General features: G+C 37.2%; 1 long non-coding RNA gene and 1 pseudogene across 1 annotated transcript in view; both read left to right on the forward strand.

Annotated features, from left to right (window-relative positions):
* The window catches only part of LINC00382 (long intergenic non-protein coding RNA 382), a 45451-nt gene extending 26903 nt beyond the window's left edge, over positions 1–18548 (forward strand). Inside the window, exons 2-6 of the long non-coding RNA NR_120413.1 lie at positions 9324–9387; positions 12907–13014; positions 15228–15372; positions 17046–17134; positions 18084–18548. This is a non-coding gene — a long non-coding RNA (long intergenic non-protein coding RNA 382). The remainder of the gene's footprint in view (positions 1–9323; positions 9388–12906; positions 13015–15227; positions 15373–17045; positions 17135–18083) is intronic.
* On the forward strand, positions 2928–3043 carry LOC124903273 (uncharacterized; annotated as a pseudogene).
* Positions 18549–20980: the final 2432 nt, after the last annotated feature.

Below are 20980 nucleotides of genomic sequence, written 5' to 3' on the forward strand. Positions count from 1 at the left end.
AATCTAAAATGATCGAAGTCTGTGCATGATCTCAATTTTCACACACTCTCCTCTTGGCACTAGCCAGAGCTACCCTTTCCTTTTGGGAAGATACTGGTAGAACATGATTGAGTTATTAACTATGGGAATTATTTTGACCTTAAACAAAAACTTGTATTACATGAACTATTATTAAGAATAATGATATATTACACATGTAGAGAGTCTCATCACTTTTTAAGACATTGTTGTGTCTATCGAACAACTTTGCCAAGCAGATCAAGAAAGCATTAGCCTCATTTCATACAGCAATTTACTGTAGCTCTAAAAAGATAAATAATTTACTCAAGAAAAATTAGAAAGTGGGTAGCCCAATGCACTTCCCATCACAAGGCTTTTGTGAGTCTTTCCAAAATGTGTTCCTTGGAACACTAGCTGTATCAGGCAGAATAATGGCCCCTTCGAAGTTGTCCACATCCTAATCCCTGGATCCTGTGACTGTATTACTTGACATTTCAAAGGGTAGTTATGATTGCAGGTGGAATTAAGGTTGCTAATTAACTGATCTGAAAATAGAGAGTTTATCCTGGATTATTTGGGTAAGCCCATTACAATCACAAGGTCCTTAAAAGTAGAAAAGGGTGTAGAAGAGGTGCTGCCCTGTGAGAAGGGACCAGTCTGCTGTTGTTGGCTTTAAAGATAAAGAAAGGGGGCCCTGAGTCAAGGAATGCAGATGGCTCCAAAAGTTGGAAAAGTTAAGGAAATGAACTCTCTCCTAGAACCTTCAGAAAGGAATGCAGACACCTTGACTGCGGCCCAGTGAGACCTGTGTCAGATTTCTACCTAAGAACTATAACATATTTGTATTGCTATAAGTTACTCAATTTGTGATAATTTGTTGAAACAGCAGTAGAATACTAATGCACTAGTCCTGTGACAGGTTTTATTAACAAGTGTTTTCTAAGACAATGGTATGGTGGTAAAGAAAACCTGTTAGTAACTGTCAATTTGTGTGGCGTAACTACTCCCACCATGGCCAATTTCAAACTACCACAGTGACATCACTGAACTCAGAGTTGGGAAGAGATGCCCACAACCTTAAGCTGGTATGGGCCAGCTGCAGCATACCACTGGAATAAGTTTGGGAAACTGCATACTTGGCCCCTTTGGAATTTCACTATACATATTAGCTTTATTAGAGGTTTATTAGAGGTAGCCCTTCAGATAAGACATCTGCTTAACTTTACTTAACTCAGCATTCCAAACTTATTTGACATTTTTTCCCCTAAATAATACACATTGTGTGGAAACTTGGACAGTCAGTGACAAAATCGTTACCAGCTGCTCTGTCTGCTGTCTCCCAATTCAGATTTTTTTTCCGCTCTGCCAAAACGTGCCCCCAGTTTGTTAACAGATTTTACTTTTTTATTGTTATCTACCTCATAATACTTGGGGACAATGAGTGTAGGGGCCATAACATAGGAGGAGCAGAACTAGGGAGAAGTAGTTGTGGCTAGCCCTTTGTCCCTGACCGCCCGCTTTGCAGAGCAAGGCAAGTAGCAGCAAGCAGCTGATTAAAAACTGATCTCTATTGACATCAAGATCTACTGACTGAGGAGCACTTCTCTTCCAACACAATCAGTCCAAATTGTCAACTGAATGAGGGCCACCTTGCTTCAAAGGGACCAGCTTTTGACTGCTAGGTGTAATAGGATAAATGTAATAGGATAAATGACATTTGCCCTGTGAATACTACTCCACGTAATTCCCTCTCTAGGCTTTTCAGAAGCTTGGGGGAATCTTTTGATAATGATTTAATTTTTCCCCTGAGCTTGTTAACTCCGCTTGTTAAGGGCATAGGGTTGGGGGTTGGGGTGCTTTAATCTTGCTAATTAACTACATTTCTGTCTCTTCCTGTTTAGATAATTTCTTTTGGATGACTCATCCTCTTTAGGGTAAATGTTCAGTCTGTCAGATTTCCCAACCATTTCCCTCTTCTTCCCCGAGATGGTGCCATATGTCTGGGGGTTTGAGGCCAGGGGGCGATCTTTTAATCCTGAGGCAGCAGTGTCAAGCTTCTGTGAATGCAGGTCCTTGTTGGGTGCACTGTTTGTTCTTGGGCTCTGTGGTGACGCAGTTAGTCTGTGCCAACCCATGGGGGTCTGCTGATAGGTGGCTGTCTCCTCATGGCCTGCAGAGATCGTGCTGAGACATGTGTGGCTTTGGCCATTGCCTGAAGCCTCTGGTCTCCACGCTATGCTGCCCTTGCTTCTGGCCAGACTTCTGCCAGCTCTCCTAACACTTCTGTCTTGCCGTCATTCGCGTTTACGGGATCCAAGTATATCCCACACAGAGGAGTACCACTTCAGGCTATCAAGGGCCATCTCTCTTGATGCTGCATTGTATACTGGTGGCATACTGGTGGCATGTTGGATGAGACACAGAGAAAAATGTAGAGCTTCTCCATCCCCCAAATTACAACACAGAAAGTGGGTCACTAGCTCCAGTGTTCCTGGATTTCCCAATACGTTAGGGAGCAGCAGGGATTAGACACTTAATAACCTGGCTCTATCACCTCTTTACTTTTCTTTACATTCTACTGTGTTCAAAGAAATGGCTTCCTATTGTATCTTCTTACCTGCTTTCTGGTTGAAACACTTCTTAGGTCACATCTATTTCAATAGGCTTCATGGCTTAGCTTTCACGGGTGGCAGAGGTAACTTCTACGTACAAAATAAAGGACTCTAAAATATGAGGTGGCCAGGTTTGGTTTGTGTATAAAGAATAATTGAACAACTAGAAGGGAAGAGTCACCTAGGATGAAAATACGTTGATTTAATATCCTGGCTATTCCCATTATAACTGCTGATAGGATTGTGCTAATGGGAATGTAAAGCCTCCTTTTCCCCATTACAGAATTGCTGAAGATTATAAATAAATCTCATTGCATTGCTTCTCAGCCTTTTGGCTAAGATCAAGTGTAATAAATCTCATTGTGCTTTATGCCTAATGTGTGCTTATATTAAACTGATTTATCCATAGGAGATAAGGTGTTATACTCCTAGTGGACAATAGTATTCATAATGTGCTTTTAGTGAACTCAGAGGAATGTATTTTCCAGATGAAAGGCTTTTTCCCCCCTTTCTATTTCTCTAGTAATTTGTATTTTGTTCCAGTAGCATATATTACACCTATAGTAATTACTTGTTTCCATATCTTTCTTCCTGCCTCCCAACATTTCTCCACATGTACACTAAGCATACATTACCATAAGAGCTGGAATCCTGTGATATTTATGTGTGTACATTTTCACATGTATATCTCAAGTTCTGTGCCTGGCACACAGTTGCTGCTCAATTCATGAATGAGTCAAGTGACTTGCTAAGTAGCCATTCAGCAAATAGGCAGCAGAGAAAAAAAATCTTGTTTCACCATCCATACCAAGTCTCTTGTGGGGGCACAATAACTCAGCAGTGGGACTGACTCAAGAGAAGTGAATCACAGCAGATTGAAAACTTCACTTTCAGAAATGGGATATTTTCATTGAATTTGACAACATGAATTGACTGTGTACGAACCATTCAACCAATTTTGAATGTTGAATGAGGCTCCAGAGCAATATTTTTTATGGCAAAATAAGAATTAGCATGGACAGAGAGTATTTTTTTTCTACCAGCCGGACACAAATTATTAGCATGTTCAATCTAAGAGTTTGATTATTGGGATGATACTTCTACTGCCACCAGTGCAAGTATTCTGAATTCTCTTTCCCTTGAAATAAATGGGCCTCTTTCTTATTCCTCTACCTGGAATGAGGCAATCATGGTCCAGTTATATCAGCCATCTTGTAACCATGAGATTGTGGGTAACCTGCTAGTGATGCTGGTACACAAAGCTGGAAGGAGAACATGTTGTCACTGATAGTAATAGGGCTGTCATAATAGGCCTATATTGTCTATCTCCAAAAATTCTCCTACAATGTCAAGGGAGGGCCTCAGTGGCTAAAGTAAACTCACTTTCCTACTGGTCCAGAGATCTTCAACAGCAGAAATCAAGAGAGAGATTCGTCAAAGAAATGAAGGCTCCTCTGCAAGACAGGATGTGCCCACTAACAAGAGTTAAATAAAAACTTCAGAATTCAGTATGCATTACATGAATCAATATATAAAAAGAGGTAAGAACAGTGCTTGGCATGATTAAACACGATGCGTTTGCTCTCATCATTATTGTTACTGCTGTTGCTGATATTGCTACAGAGTAAACTGCTACTAGCTCCAGTCAATAGGGGTTCTTTGAAAATTTAAATGATTTTATTTTTTTCCCCAGTCTCTACTACCCCAGCCCATGGTAAACATCATTCTGCTCTCTACTTCTATGAGTTCGACATTTTTAGATTCCACATGTGCATGAGACAATGTGATATGATATTTGACTTTCTGTGACTGGTTTATTTCACTTAATATAATGTCCTGCAGGCTTATCCATGTCGTTGCAAATGACAGGATTTCCTTCCTTTTTAAAGCTGTATGGTATTCTGTTGTGTATATATACCACATTTTCTTTATCCATTCATCTGTTGATGAGCACTTAAGTTGATTCCATATTTTGGCTATTGTGGTAATGTTGCAATGAATATGGGAGTGCAGAGATCTCCTTGACATAATGATTTCATTTCCTTTGTGTATATATATACCCAATGGTGGGATTGCTGGATTTTAAACTATTTTAAATTCAAAAATTAATTCCTACTTATTGCAGAAAAAGTTAGTATAGGTAGGTTAAAAAAGGAAAAAAATAAAATACTACCTAAAGATAATCATAAACAGTTTGATCTATATACGTATGTTTCTCAAAAAGCATTACATCATGCTATGTTTACTATTTTACAAAGTACTTCTGTTTTAACTATAATATTGTTGATATCTTTTTAATATTTTCTACTCTAAATGCAAAATTATACTGATTTTTAATATATCTTACCATTTAATGAGGCGTTAGATATATATAATTCTATATATATAAATTTATATATACATATGTTCTACATTTATATATTAACATATATATTTATAATATATATTTTTCTCATAATAAAGAAAGCATTTGGCTTCATTATTTTATATTATTTTATTGTATTTTATATCATTTTATTCATTATATTTTGTATTATTTTATTATAGCCAAAAAATCTTTTGTGCTTTTAGAAATTTCTTCTTTTTTAAATACGAGAATTTTTTTTATTGTGCTATGCAATTGATTAGTAAATTATTCACTGGACCTGGTTTTGAGTCACAGCTTCAGCTGTGACTGTTTCTCAAGAGAACCACATACTGCCTTCACACTGTCTCAATGCTGCTGGAATACACCAACTAACTCTAAAGTCTGTTGTCTTGAATATAATGTAAGCTAAGTTGTTTAAAATATAGACCTATTTCATGCTGTGCATTTGCTGGTGAAGAAAGATTTTAGACTGATTGTGAGCATGCTGTTTGAAAGAGTGAGTGGCTCAGCAGTTTGGAACTGTTTCTAATAAAAACACAAAACCATAACTGCCTTTGGGTCATCAGTCCAACAGGTTATAGTGATGTAGTATGAAGTATCTGTGTGTCCCAGACCAAACTGATTATCCTGGATGCTAAACTGAGAACTTACAACAAAACAGAACAATAAAAAAAAAAAAAAATCCCTGGTCTACTGTAACATCCTAATTGTAATCTAAGATAAACACAACACGCTAAGCTACAGAGGACTCTTGTATTTTGTGTAGAAGGGGATTTATGAGCACATTAGTAGGGAAAACCGAGGTAGGTGAATGAATGTAATGAAATTTTAAAGGTAGAACAATTTAATAACCTCTTCATTAGGATACTCCTGTATAAAAGATTCTATTTTGTACACTTTATTCTTATCTATACTATAAAGTGCTATATAACCTCTAACTGACAAAATATTCTGGCAGCATCTTTTGGCTTAGTTAGGTACTATGAGAATTCAGAGATAACAACATTGCATTCATTTAAGTGTGTTATATTATTAATCTTGCCATCCAGTATGTCTTTTTACAGTCTATTACATTTAGACCTAGAGAAATTGTCAATTGACAGAGAATATGTTTTAGTATCAGTATCTTGAAAGCAAATTTGTATTCCTTTTGATGCTGAAATTGTGGATTTGCAGTAGAACAATACAATCATTGTGTAGTATAACAGGTCTCATAATTCAGTGTAATTGGAAGTCAAAGATTGTATGGGAATGGAAAGCAAAATATAAAATGATTAGTTGCCTAGGAGAGTTTTCTAATTTTTCTACAGAGTATTTATTGGTTAACACAAACTTCAGAAAATATATCTTCTGTGATTTATGTTGTACTATAAAATATTTAATTACATATAACTCTCAATTCTCATTTGTGTGTGTGTGTGTGAATGTGCACATGTGCCAAATCAAAACGTGATGCAATTCTAAATGCCTTCTAAGAAACAGAAGCTAGTAAGGAGTACGGCCAAATTTTGGGGTGAACTATTCATAGAAAGTGACATCTGCAAAGCCCAGTGTCTAATAAAAACACAGGACAAATAAGTAAATGTTTCCTTTTCTTACAGACATTGAACTTTTTGTAGGAGACAGATGTTATTACATTACCTGGTTCCAAATGACTGCTAGAGAGTGAAGAATAAAAACAGCATTTTACTTTTTATGTTTATAAAGTTCAATGATCTAATTTAATTTGCTTATTGTAAATAAAATCAGTTTTAATAGTCCTATAAACTAAGAGTCCGTTAATTAATGGAGAATTTTACAAAAATAGGATGAATTTCTATTTATCTCTGCTGTAGTCAAACATTTACTAATAGTTTTATTAAAACAATTTTAAATGACCACAATTATATTTGTTATGTGTAAAATGGGTGTGATGGACTCACTAATGTCTAAGGTCCATTTCACTTTAAAATTATATCCTAAGTTATTTCTCAATGACGTTTAGCATTTTCCAAGTTGTTTGAGAAAAAGAATTTTTTAGTTTTTCTTCAATGCCACTGAAACAGAGTGTTTACATTATTTTAGACTCCTTAAATTGCAAACGAACTGTTCTGCCATCTGTGCAAGTGAATGCATAATAATACATAAGATTATTTGCTACAAATTAAACTATTTTATATTTTTTAACCAGGATTAACCATGTTTCATCTATAAGAAACTAAAATTTAGACTTTTCTGTATTTAAACAGCACGACAAAAGTGACCCAAAGTGGTAGGACAATTTCTACCTACCTGTAGACTATAACACTCAGGTGGCTGGGTGTGGTGGCTCACACCTGTAATCCCAGCACTTTGGGAGGCCCAGGCAGGCAGATCAACTGAGGTCAGGAGTTTGAGACCAGCCTGACCAACACAGAGAAACCTCATCGCTACTAAAAATACAAAATTAGCCGGGGGTAGGGGTGGCACATGCCTGTAATCCCAGCTACTCGGGAGGCTGAGGCAGGAGAATCAATTGAACCTGGGAGGCAGAGGTTGCGGTGAGCCAAGATCGTGCCATTGCACCCCAGCCTGGGCAACAAGAGTGAAACTCCTTCACAAACAAATAAACAAACAAAACACCCAGGCTTTGGTATATCGGCCCTGAAGGGTGGAGATGAGCCTGTCAAAACAAATAGCTTCCTCTCCAAAGCTCTAATCTTGAAATGCTCAGAGCTCACCTTAGAGAGTCTTAGTGGGCTGGAAGCAGACTGTGTACTTGTGAACATCTAAATCCATCCCATGGCTATTGTAAACAAGATTACCCAAAAGAGTTTTGGGAGATTAGAAAGGTCAAAGAGGACATGGTCACAGAATGCAGGAGAGGATGATTAGAAACTAGGAATGCTCTATAAGGCAGTTTGGGGTTATGTTGTGATTTATAAGGGAGTTTCATTGATTCCTTTAACAAATAATTGTTGAGCAGCTCCAGAGTAAAAGACATTGTGCTACGGTCATGGAGGGTCTAGCTATGCTGTCCAGTATGTAGATACTATTCACCTGTGACTCTTTAGATTTAAATTTTACTGAATTAAAATAAATAAAAATAAAGCTCAGTTCCCATTTGCACTGGCCATATGTCAAGTACTCAGTAGCCACAATGTAGCTAATGGCTATCGTATTGGACAGTGGGAATATAAAATATTTATGTCATAACAGAAACATTTATTGGAGAATGCTGGCAGAATAGTCAAAGATATCCTGGTGCTTTTCATGCTGGTAACCCACTTGAGCAGATTATGTAAACAAATAGATGCAATAGCAAACAGTGTATCATATGAGCAATTTAAGAGGTATAGATAAGATAACTGAGTGACTTCAGAGAAAAAAAGAAAATTACATAGGATTGTCAGAATAGAGTCACAGAAAAAGTACACTTTGAAGTCAGGACTGAAGAAAGTATGAAGAAAGTCATTGTCTTAGCTTGGGATACAGTAACAAAACACCATAAACTGAGTGGCCTAAATAACAAATATTTATTTCTTACAGTTGGAGACTGGGAAGTTCAACATCAAGGTGCTAAAAAATTTAGTGTCTGGTGAGGGTTTACTTCTTGGTTTGCTGATGGGTACCTTCTCATGGTATCCTCACATGGCAGCGGGTTGTGGGGAGGAAGAGAGAGAGAAAGGAAGCATGCTCTTTAGTATCATGTCTCATCTTAAAAGGGCGCTAATCTCATTCATGAAGCCTCCACCCTCACGACCTCGTCTAATCCTACTTACCTCCCACAGACCCCGTCTCCTAACACCTACCCATCACATTAGAGGATACGGTTTCAACATATGAATTTGAGGGAAACAAGCATTCCATCCCAAACAGCAGTTGAGGACAAAGTGAAAATGTTCTCTCTATAAAGGAAGATGTGAGTTCAGAGGCAGGAACAGATGGCAATTAGGCTTGGGTAAAGAGCTCAGGAGAGGAGGGGATGAAAAGGCACCTGAAGCCATTGGTATTCTAACTGTGAAAATCCTTGAGGGCTAAGAATTTGAGCTTTTTTTTCTGAAGGGACTGGGAAACCGCTAGAATTTCTGAGTAAGAAATGTGATCCAAGTGTTATTTCAGAAAGATATATCTGGCAGCGCTGCGCAGACTGGGTAGGGTGGAGAGAGAGGAAGTTGATAGACCATATTAAAGTGTGTGGAAAATAGACCATATGTGCAGTTGTAAGGACCTGAACTTGAGTATCTGCAACTTACTCTGGACACACAATATAGTGAATCTTGAATAAAATAAGCTTTTTACAAACTAACAGCATTATTAGAAATCCAGGTCCCCATATTTCCTTAAATGACTGCTTTTCTACATGTCTCTTTTGTTGCCTTCAGTCAGAAGGATGCAGATTGCCCATACTTCATAGCAGAGCAACAGGAGGGACTTAGGGACAAAAAGGTAAGATCCGGGGGAAAAATATGTAAGGAAATGGGAATAATTCAGGCTGAAGACAGAAATAGGACCAGGCACATGGAAGTCACTTGAGACGTGCAGTGTGCTGAAATCTTCATCTGAACAGCATCCACCTTCAGTGACAGTTTCGCTTATGCAGTGGTGTGGTGGAGCCTCTTAGCACTGCCTCGTGAGATGCCATTGTGTGCATGTCTTCTCAATTTTGTTTTCAGTGAAGTCTCATGGTGAGAGTGTTTACACTATGGAAATTGGCAAATGCTATAAATCAGGGCTGCTTCTATCCCCAGCTGTGCCCACAGGAACTACTCAGACAAGCCTGATCTCTTCTTTAAAAGACAAGACTAGAAACTAAAGACACCAGGCTGGGCATGATGGCTCACACCTGTAATCCCAGCACTTTGAGAGGCCGAGGTGGGTGGATCACCTGAGGTCAGGAGTTCGAGACCAGCCTGGGCAACATGGTGAAACTCTGTCTCTACTAAAAGTCCAAAAAAAAAAAAAAAAAAAAAAAAAAGCCAGGCATGGTGGTGTGTGCCTGTAATCCCAGCTACTGGGGAGGCTGAGGAAGGAGAATCTCTTGAACCTGGGAGTCAGAGGTTGCAGTGAGCCAAGATGGCGCCACTGCACTCCAGCCTGGGCAACAGAGTGCGATTCTGTCTCAAAAGAAAGAAAAGAAAGAAACTAAAGACACCATTGCACCTGAGCAGCCATACCAGGGCATAGAGGCCAGTTCTTCCAGCCTGAAGTTTATAGTCCTAGGTGTACATATGGCTGTACATTGTTTTGTAATATCACATACATCTTAAACTACATATACGAATACTTCAAATATACTAAGCGTTTTTAGATTTATTCTTTCTCTCTTGCTTTGCTATAGAGCTGTTCAGGAGTTCACCCAAGAGAGTGGAGACTACCTCTTCCTGATTTCCTTGTACAAATTTTATGTAGCTTGACCTGTGATTTATGGACAGGAAAGCTGTCTGCATAGTTACACTCTTACCAACTGATGTGTATAGCATGTCTCCCTTCAAGTTTAAAGAATATTTTTTTCTGTCTTTTAATAGGCTTACTCTCCTTTATAACTCTGCACTTTTTCCTACTGCAGCAGTGGAGAGAGATACTTCCAATGGCTGTTGTTTTACTGCAACTACTACTTGCCATTGATTGAGTGCACCTGGCACTTTCTATGCACCCATTTCATTTAATCCTCATCACCATCCTTTTAGTTAGAAAATATGATGTCCATTTGTCAAATGAAGAAAGAGGACCTGAGAAGTTAAGACACTTAAATCATACACCCGATTGGTCTCAGATGTCAGTTCAAATCTCTGACCATATCATGCTTAATTCAAATGCTTAACCATTAAGCCACATTGCAGGAAGAAAAATTCTTTTCTGATAGTGAGGGCTTCCAGAAGCCATGGCAGCCACAAAGGCCTTGGTGACCAGGAATCAGGCTTTTTTACTGTGTGCCTAGGAGAATGCATTACCATTACCTTTAAGGGACTGTGGGAGAATAAAGGCCAAGGTGCATATGGACACACAAGGGCCCTTGCTCTAGAGATCTTACAGCCTCTGAAACCTCACAGGTGAACATACTTGGTAGTTCTAGTAAAATGCCACTGAGAATTCCCAGATTGAGGCAGGGTCCTCAGATTGAGAAAAGTTATAACCAAATTTTTCCAAGTTATGCCTCGTCCTGAAGCCCTGGGGCTTTAAGAACAACAGTAACAAACTATTTAGGCATTTCTAAGACTTGTAAGTAGGAAAAGAATTATTTCAGAGATGGAACCTAAACATACAATTGTGGGGGGAAAATGCACTTTGTGAATACCTTGAATATTGTAGCATAGATAAATGACTCGAGGATTAAAAATGCATGAAACATGCTTGCAGAAGGACCCGATTACAATAGCAAATAAGGCTTAAGGAACTGATGCCATTTTGTGAATTGGGTGTGTAACATGGCAAAGCTATCTCCTTTTATAATGTCATGTTTGTGTATATTCACACTTATGCATGGACATGCATCTATTATAGTAACTCGGTAAAATAACCAGAGGCTATAGAAATTCCTGCCTAGACTTGGGTTTTTAGACATGCTTTCTTTATTCTCAACACCCGTGCACATGAGAAACTGCAGCTCAAGCACAGACTTGGCAGGCAGAGCCTGTTCACTGTTTTCTTAAACGCTCTTCCTTTCTGTACAGTCGTACCTATTTTAGGGGCACTAAGCAGCCTCACACTCGCCTCTCAGGCTTCTGAAGGGTATTGAGTACTTGTTTGGAGCACATAATTTATGCTGTGCTGAAAAATAGCTGAGACTGTAATGGTGCCCAGAGAACCCAAGTTCTCTGAAGACCAAGATCACATTAATATGCAGTATTTCATTTACAAACCCCTTCTAAGTAGGTTTGAGAGGATAATGCCTTGTTTGAATAATAATATAGCACATTTTACTTTTCAAAGTGCTTTCACATAAATCATCCATCTCATTTTATTTTTGAAACAATGAGGGAGATAAGGCCAGGATTATTACCTATAGGGAATCAAAAGCTCAGAAAGGTCAAGTGATTTACTCAAAGTCACATTGCAAGTTCTCTGTAAAGCTGAGATTAGAAGCTGTGATTCTCCCATTCCCAGCTCAGCTGGGTCTTTTTAAAAGCGTGTTAGGACCCACAGCTTCATGGGTGGAATACTGAAATTCTCAGGCCCAGCCTCTTGCCTCTAAGTGTTCCATTTCTATACTTTGCTTTTAGCATCATTTAGATGTCGTGGTCTTAAAAAATGGTAATAAATTTTAAATAAAAGTGTATAATTTAATCTTTTCTTTTAGGAAATGACTTTAGAAATTCAACCTGAAAGCATTATCAATTTCTTGAGCTAAGTTTACAAAATTGGATGCAAGTTGCATATGACAGTGATTCTTGATATTTGTTTTTCATCCTTATGTTTAATCATAGGCATGGTTTGAGTTTCATGTGAGATAACTAATGGGAAAGCACTTTGTAATTTTGAAACATTGTGATAGTAAGAGCTGACATGACAGTGTCAGAAATTATTTAATTAATTTAGTTTAACAGTTTCAATTTGTTAGAAATGGTATTTTGACTTGTTCACATAGTATCTATGCTTAGTCCCTTTTTTATAAATTTCATTTTATAATTCTTTTAAATACATACATTCATGTTATTTTATATAATATGTGATTAAATATATGTGTATATACATATATAAATTACTATTTTTGTCTTTATTAAATTCTCATACATACTGGGATTCTCTCACTTAATTTTCTAGTTTTTAAAATATTCTTAAAGCTTATGGGAAATGTTCCAATTAATTCACTCTGGCACCATGATCTGTCTATAACTTCAAAGGGCTATGCTTAAAAATCCAAAAGCCATAAACTAAAGGTATTTTATGGAATTTACTTGACATTTCAGAGGAAAACGAAGGCATTACAAAACAAGCATATTAAGTATACGATTCACATCCCAACAGCTCAAAGGCAAGGAAGACTGAGGAAGCTAAGTTACTGGCCATATGTTTAATAAATATAAGCTTAATGGCAGTGAATGTATTAATGTCAGCGAAGACAAGTCTATGAAGGTATGTAGTCCAGTGTGAACCCTATCTGGCATGCACTGATCTTTCTGTTCATAAGAATCTTAACCATGCCAATCTTCATGATTGTTTTAGCTCTATTATGCAATAGGTAAGTGTCAGCTTTGGGACAGATACCATAGTAACGGTAGACTTACAATTACAGTAGAATCAAAATATATCTTTGTCAGCCAAGTATTTGACAAGATCTTGGTATATCCTTGTGTATATTAAAGAAAGCCAGGCTGGATGAGAACATAGCTGGAGACTGAAAACCGACATTCCAAGATTGTTGATTAGTTAAATGAAATTCTGAATTTTTGCACCACTGAATTCTTTCATTGGCCATGAATGTAATACTTTATCAAAGTTTTGGATGAGAACATTGAGGGCAGGGTTATTCCCGGTTATTCCAGATGACCCAGAGCACTGAGGATTACTTTCACGACAGAAGAACCAAGAATACAAAACCACCTCAACAGATTATAACCAAGTAGTGACATTTACCCAGGATATTAGTAAAGTTCCCCACATTGATTCAAAAAATAAATTGTGTAGATAAACATTGCATTTGAACAATACAAATGTTCTAAGATATTTATACTTTTTGTCATCTTTTTCTGCCACAAATGAGCTGTATAATCTGGCCAGAAATACCTAGGTAAATACGGTGTTTCTCTATTTTACTTTGAATGTAAGACTCAACTTCAGTATCTAAGTGTTAGTGAGTATATTTTTATAAGTACTGTTGTTCCAAATCACTTGCTGTCAGTTTAATTCTGTAAATGCATGACAGGTGCCTAATCTGATTTAAGCATCACAGAACATTCCAGGAAAAAGGAAATGAATAAGATGTCATCTCTGACCTCCAAGGTTTAATGGAGAAGGCAGGCCCCCAAAGCAATCAGTGCAAAGACACTTACAAGAAGGGTGCTGTGGCTACCTAGCTATCAGCTGTGACAGTTGTTCTTGGATTTTCATTTTCATATACACCTCTTTTACCTGAAAGATGTCCCTTGCCCCTTTTTAACTTTGCCTTTTAGGAGTAAGGCAGTGAGCTATTCTCACACCACTGTGAAGTCATCAGTCCATCTTTCCCTGACTAATGGCTATAAAGCAGCAAGAGTTTCCTAATTGGCATTTCAAAGAACACTAGGGATCAATTACACATAAAATGTTTATTTATAAAACTGTCATAAACTACAGGTTCAATTTGTTTGACCTTCTGGTAATTAGCACAGACTTACAATAGAGAAAGTTAGGTTACACCAAATACTTTTATTCTTGTTATTTCTACAGGAAAGAATCAAAGCACACAAACAAAACAAAAAAAGTAATAGCAGCATATTCTTCCCGGTGGGAGCAAGAGAAGAAAAGAGTACTCTACCTATCCCCTTTGCCTTCATCTTCTTTCTAAAGGCAAATATGCATTCTCAATCAAGCACATTTGCATTTGGAAATAATTTCCTTGTTGTTTAAAAGGCCTCACTTTTACTCGTCTTGCTCAAAGAACACAGGTGTATCAAAACACTTTAGGTTATTCCCAAATTGTTTTTCCCAGATTGTTTTCTTCAGAACACTAGACCTGAGGGAATTCAGTGGTAAAGGGGTACAAAACTGTTATTAGGCAAGTTTTCCCTCTCTTAGAAATTCACAAGACACTTTACCATATTAGAGTCTTATCCCTTGGTTTAACCAACTATGTTCTGACATTATGTGTTTCCTTGTGGTATTAATTATTTAGTTTTATTGCTTTCAGAAGCTTAGTGTTACTACTATTGACAATATCTACTTTACTAAGGGAGAAATTATAGAGAGGCCAAAACACCTCAAAATTTAGAATGGGAAGAGGAAATGAGGAAAGTGTGTGTGTGTGTGTGTGTGTGTGTGTGTATGTGTATGTGTATGTGGGTGTGTCTTGGGGAAAAACTGAGACACTGTGAGAAAATATTATAATTGAGGTTTTCTTAAATTAGCATTTAGGACCACTAAATAAATAAATTTCACTGTTCACAGAAATTTTAAGAACACATGATATAATTAAAAACAACTTAAACTAAATTATTCCTTTGGCAGATAAGTTCATGTGGTTACAAATTTTCTGGACTCATGAAATGTATAATATGTAGTATTATTTTAAACAGGTCAACATCACTGTAGAAAGATACTAAACCTTAGAAACCTGTGAAGTGGGAAACACTAATATCCCAATTTTACAGTTAAACAGGCACAGAGAGGCTAAGAGTCTTGCCAAAGGCCACAGAGGAAGGAAGAGACTAAATCTGGAACAAACTTTCTATTCTCCATTTCCAGAAGAAACCACTAAACCATGCTTCCTCTTGTCATGGAAGCTTAAAATATTTGGTATGGTCATCTTGCCTTTTTTTTTCTTTCCAGTGACTGTATAAAGGCTTTCGAGATGGTAGTGGTCAAGCTGTCCCTTTCTTTTGCAGCCTTCTCTATGCTTGTCTCCTTGGTGGTGCAGCAGCAGCTTATATTTTCTTTGCTTGGCTTAGGAAGCTCCCTTTGAGGGTTTCTGAATCCCTGGCCTTTTGGTGATGTTTGATGCAACAATCCTCTTTACCTGCAACCCACATCACTGACCTTGGAGCTCAATGAACTTTTCATTTACATGCACAGTCAAATTAAATTTGCCTGGCCTTTGAAAACTTACATCTGTTGAGTGTATAATTTGTATTGCCATTTGTTCCACAGATGTGTAACAAGACAAATACCTGTCCAGGCTTATAAGGGATTCAGAAATGCTTACGTTAATCATGCTGGTGGAAAGAGGTTAAGGGCGATACAATAAATCAGTCTCCAAATGGTTTCACTTGGAATGGCCTGGGAGAACAGGGTTATTTTTATCCTAGGATGCTTTTAATTTGAATCAAAAATACTTTACCACATGTTCTGCCACAAGTTCAAAAGGATTGGTAACAAACATTTAATCTTTTTCTTTTCGTATTGGCGCTAAGCCCTCATCAAAAAGCGTATGCAGTCAGGCAGCTTATCTCCACTGAGCTGCTTCCCTTAATGTGTTCCTAATTATAATCGTATATATGGCTCACTGTGGCTGATTGAACAATATGGCAGTAATTTCTTTACAGGCCTCCCTGCTCTTTGAACTGTGAGTACAGAGGGCTAGAACAGAACCAGATCAATGGGATTTGAGTGCTGGCAAATCAAGCCAGATGCGATCTTTAGAGAATGAGTTTCCAGCTGTTTCCCAGAAAGGGACTTCAACAGACAGCTGGGGACCTTATCATTATCATCATGATCATCATCATCATTCCCAGTAAATACACTCACAACTCTTTACAAAACGTGCAACTATTCTCATCTCTTCCTAAATCATTACCCACCATAAAGTCTCCCAAATGCTTTGAAACTGTGACTATGTAAAACAGATAAGCCTGTGACTGATGATGTGGGAATGGAAACATAATAGTATTATATTGACACTATATATTTGTCAGTGCTGCAAGATGTGCAGCTGAAAGCAATGTCCAAAATTTATTTTTAAGATACCAAATACTCACAACATTTCCATGTGTTTGTAAGAGGGAGATAACATAATCCTCATTTTCTTGGTCAAAATGGCATGTTATTGCTTTGTGCGTACATCTTTGTGTCCTCCACATCACTATCACCGTGCCTTGTTCGAGGCAGTATCCAATAAATGTTTCTAGGAAGAATAAGTGCTTGCTTTGTATAGAGCCTTGTGCTGTGGGGGAAGACAGCAAGCTTAATACATCCAAAGGAAGTTGCTGTGGCCCTATAAAAGGCTCCCAATTAAAGAGACCCTAATATATGAATTTAAAATGATAATTACTTTGAACAATTTAAGGATCATTAAAATGAAAGAAAATGTCCAATAGCAGAGGGACTCACAAGCTTTCCCAAATGCAACTGACCGAGTTAGCTGGTCTATGTGAAATAATTTATGCCACCTTCAAAAGCCTACCTCGTAAAAATTCTTCCTCTTTAGCCTGCTCTGGGGTTCCTAAGTCCTGCTCTTGGCCTCCCTTTTTCAGGACTGTCTGTGGATCCAGGGAGGAATTTCAGAAGAGCCAGGATTAGTCAATCAAATTAAACTCAATATCACCCAAATAAAGTTGGTCAGGTAAAATAAAGAAGTTGACACGGGAGGTGAAGGTCAGGAGAATGAGAATATTGAGTGATCCTGAGATATGGGAAATGACGAGCAAGTCTAGGGATCTGTTTGGTTTTTGTTTATTTGTTTGTTTTGAGCAGTGCTCATAGAAGAGGAAATCTGAAAGTAGGAGCAGAGTAGGGTGGACATGGAAGAGACACAGTCTACATGACTTTGTTCATACTTTGCTTAAAAGATTTTCTCTAATTTATTTCAACTTTTATATTTCTTAGTAAATTCCTTGAAGATAGGGACCACCAACGATCTTTTGCTCATTACTTATTCTTAGCACTTGAAAAAAAGCAAATACGAAATATTTATTTTTTAACCTTTGTATCATTACTGTATCATAGTAGATGCTCAATAAATATTGGAGTAATAAGTAACTATTTACAATTTTAATTTTAACTATCCTCAACTGAAAAACTCTTCTGGACATTTTAAACTCTGGTTCTCAAACAAAACAAATTAAAAACCTTTTAGAGCTAAAAGTGTATTATAAAATAAAAATGTCTTTCAAAATAGACCTAGAGTGTGCAGCTGATGAATAGCGAATATTTAGTTATATGTACTCAGCTAAACTAAAAGTTCTAGGAACTGTATCATTTTCTATGGGAACAGAGGTAAATAATTTATTTTAATCTGGTATGTATATGTATATAAAACTACATCAGTATTACCTGCATGTGATTAAAATCACACAACATGTCTTGAAACTATTTTTCCTCAGGTAACACAGATAGTAAACATGAATTATTTGGATCTGTGCTCTCCAAATATATTTGATTACTCTCTTTTATCAGTTAAAAATTACAAGAAAAACTTTTGAGCATGCACCCTCAATATATGTATATTTATTCATGAATTGTATATATACTACTACTATTTGTATTAATATTCAATTTCTTCTTTGCTTTAGATCAAACTACGTTTAAATAAGAATTAAAATGCCATTTGTCCATCACCTAATGGCTCAATTTGCTCCTGCCTTGGGTGTGCACACCCTGCTCTGGAACAGACCAGAGCTCTAAAGAAGTGACTGGAAGTTGTGAATGTCATTGTTATGAAGCTTCAAATTTGCTCTCCTCTTTAGGACACAGACATGGCATTAGAGAAGGGCAGAAAACTGCACTTGGCTGTGCATAGAGAACACTAGAGACCTCTTGTGCAAGAGAGGGGACTAGGTTGCGTAGTGTAATGAGAGAAGCATGGGTTTTGAGACCGCTACAATGTCTGTGTCTTCTTGGCCAACATTTCAGTAAGAGTAGTAAGCATATCTCCACAATAGGGTTAAGAGAACCAGTGTCTTCTGAAAAACACATGAAATCATCGTAACCCTGCTAAGTCTGTGCTTTGCAAAAATTAAAACTAAAACTAATTTTCACTATGACTCTGTTATTCTTCCTTGTTCCTAGGCCACAGGTGGGTGAGAAAATTTCGGTTAAGAGTTGGATAAATCAGAGTAAGTTGTTACTTCTGAGGATCAAGGGCAAGTAATTGGATCAGGGATGGGTAAACAGAGGGTTTCAATTCTGCATATTATATTTCAGTGAGTAGGTACAGAGATGATTGTTTTATATCCTTTCCTTCTTATTGAATCTCCTTTTTTTTAAGTGAATAATGAAAAATAGTAGAGATTATACTGGAAATTTAGAAAAGTCCTAGGATTGGGTTTACTACAATAATTTAAATAATAAGGTTAATATGGGATTGTAGATGCATGCATTACACTAAAGAGACTTGTAATGAGGCCCAACTCAGTGGAGTAAGTTGTTAGAGAATTTGGACTTCTTCCTTTTAAGGCTGACTTTGGAAGGGTGAACACTGTGGCATTAAAAAAAAAAGTTTAACTTCCTTTCTGGAGTGCATACCAGTTCTTATAGCTTGTATAAGCCCTCTATTTTATGCCATTGGGTCATCACAAGTTCTGTAAAATTCTCCATTATCATTTTCATGGAAAACAAATCCATTGTAATTCAATTGAACAATTACACATTGATCGTCTAAAATGTGCCAAACATAATACAGAACATGCATTTTATAGGAAAATTGGACTGCTCTAAGATATGTAATAAATCATCTTCAATTTTATGAAAAGGGAAGCCAGGCATGTTAATGGAGTTTGTTTTTATAAACATGAAGTGTTTGGGCATGTTTGATTTTTCAGTTGGGCTGCTCAGCCAAGCTTAGTTAGCACCTTGTAAAAATGAGTTGTTTCTCATTTCCTTAATGGAAAGCAGCGAGAGTCATAGCTAAGATCCCCATATCAGCTGGAGGCCTTCTGTAGCACTCCTTAAGCCTCTGAGGTTAGATCCAGGATGCAAATCCGTCTGGTTACTTGAGACCAGAAAGTGTGTTTCTCCAGAGAATTTAAACTCTCTCCCCATCAGTCATAGACAAGGAAACTATCTAAAAGCAGATCTCTGTTTTCAGATCTCTTAAGTTGGAAGAAAAGTTTTATTGATAAGCATTTACATCTTAATAATTTCTTGAAATATGTAGCTGGTTCATCATTTTTACAATTCATTTGGCCTTCAGAACACGCCATAATTCTGCATCTGTGTGGATATCAATTTTCTTAGTAATATAATGTTAAGAATGTGATAAAACAGGGAGCATGTTGGAACTGTTCCTTGTCCTGTGGCCTTAACAAGCCACAGCTGTATCAGCAGCTGGTCATTGAAGGAGCCTGGTCCTAGCCTCTCCCAGCGTCCTTTTTCAGCTAGATCAAAAGGAAATATACCAGGCAGAAGGTTTTATCATCAAAGCCTATAGAAATCTGTGGGAACCAATATTTCCATTTAGATTGCTTCAGCCTCATCAGACTGAAAAGATTTTTCTCTAGTGGGACAGAGGTTGTTAAATCAGCCAATTTGAAAAGCTTTTTCATCCTCACTGAGTTTATCAAAGAAAAGGAATATGGTGTCAAAAAGTTTGTTCACCCCCCAACATGCTTTACTAAGCTCTCAGCTTTTTCTCTTACCAATTATTTTAAAAGTTGTGTTAATTACCACTAGTGATTGTTTAATGGCGATTTTACTGAAAGTAGTTGCCATAGATTTAATTAATGAACCCCAAACTCCTGCTATTTCAAATGCAGGTAAAGCTAAGGAGCAACTATTATGAGGGAGTGAGTATATTATTCACTTCTAGAAGGAGTAAAATAATTTTTTTTCATTTAAAGGCATTAAAATAAATATTTATCTTAGTTGTCTCAGATGACACTGTTCAATACAATTGCTTGTCCAGGCTAAGTTCAGCCTTTCATTCAAAGGGCTCACTGATGCCACAGAGAAGTGTTGAGAAATATTCTGTGTTTATTTTTAGCCTATTTGTACCCATGGCCATCTCAGTTTATTTTTATTCTAAATTCATTTTTGCATTTTCTTAATATGTAAAGTATTCTTATAGAGAATACTTAAATATTCTAATAGGCATTCTTATCATATACTTCCTGGATTTTTGCAGTAGCTTTCACTATAACTGGTATTTTCATCTCTGTTCTTTTCTTTCTGGAAAAAAGAATTCTGCACACAACTTCCAGATTTATCTTCTTGAAACACTGATTTTTAAAAAAATTTTAAGATCCAGGGTACACGTGCAGGATGTGCATGTTTGTTACATAGGTAAATGTGTGCCATGGTGATTTGCTGCACCTACCAACCCACCACCTATTTTTAGCTATTTTTCTTGAGGCTCTCCCTCACCTCACCCTACTGATGGGCCCCAGTGTGTGTTATTCCCCTCCTCATGTCCATCTGTTCACATTGTTCACCTCCCATTTATAAGTGAGAACACGCATTGTTTGGTTTTCTG

The sequence above is a fragment of the Homo sapiens genome, chromosome 13, assembly GCF_000001405.40.
Source record: "Homo sapiens chromosome 13, GRCh38.p14 Primary Assembly".
Lineage (NCBI taxonomy): Eukaryota > Metazoa > Chordata > Mammalia > Primates > Hominidae > Homo > Homo sapiens.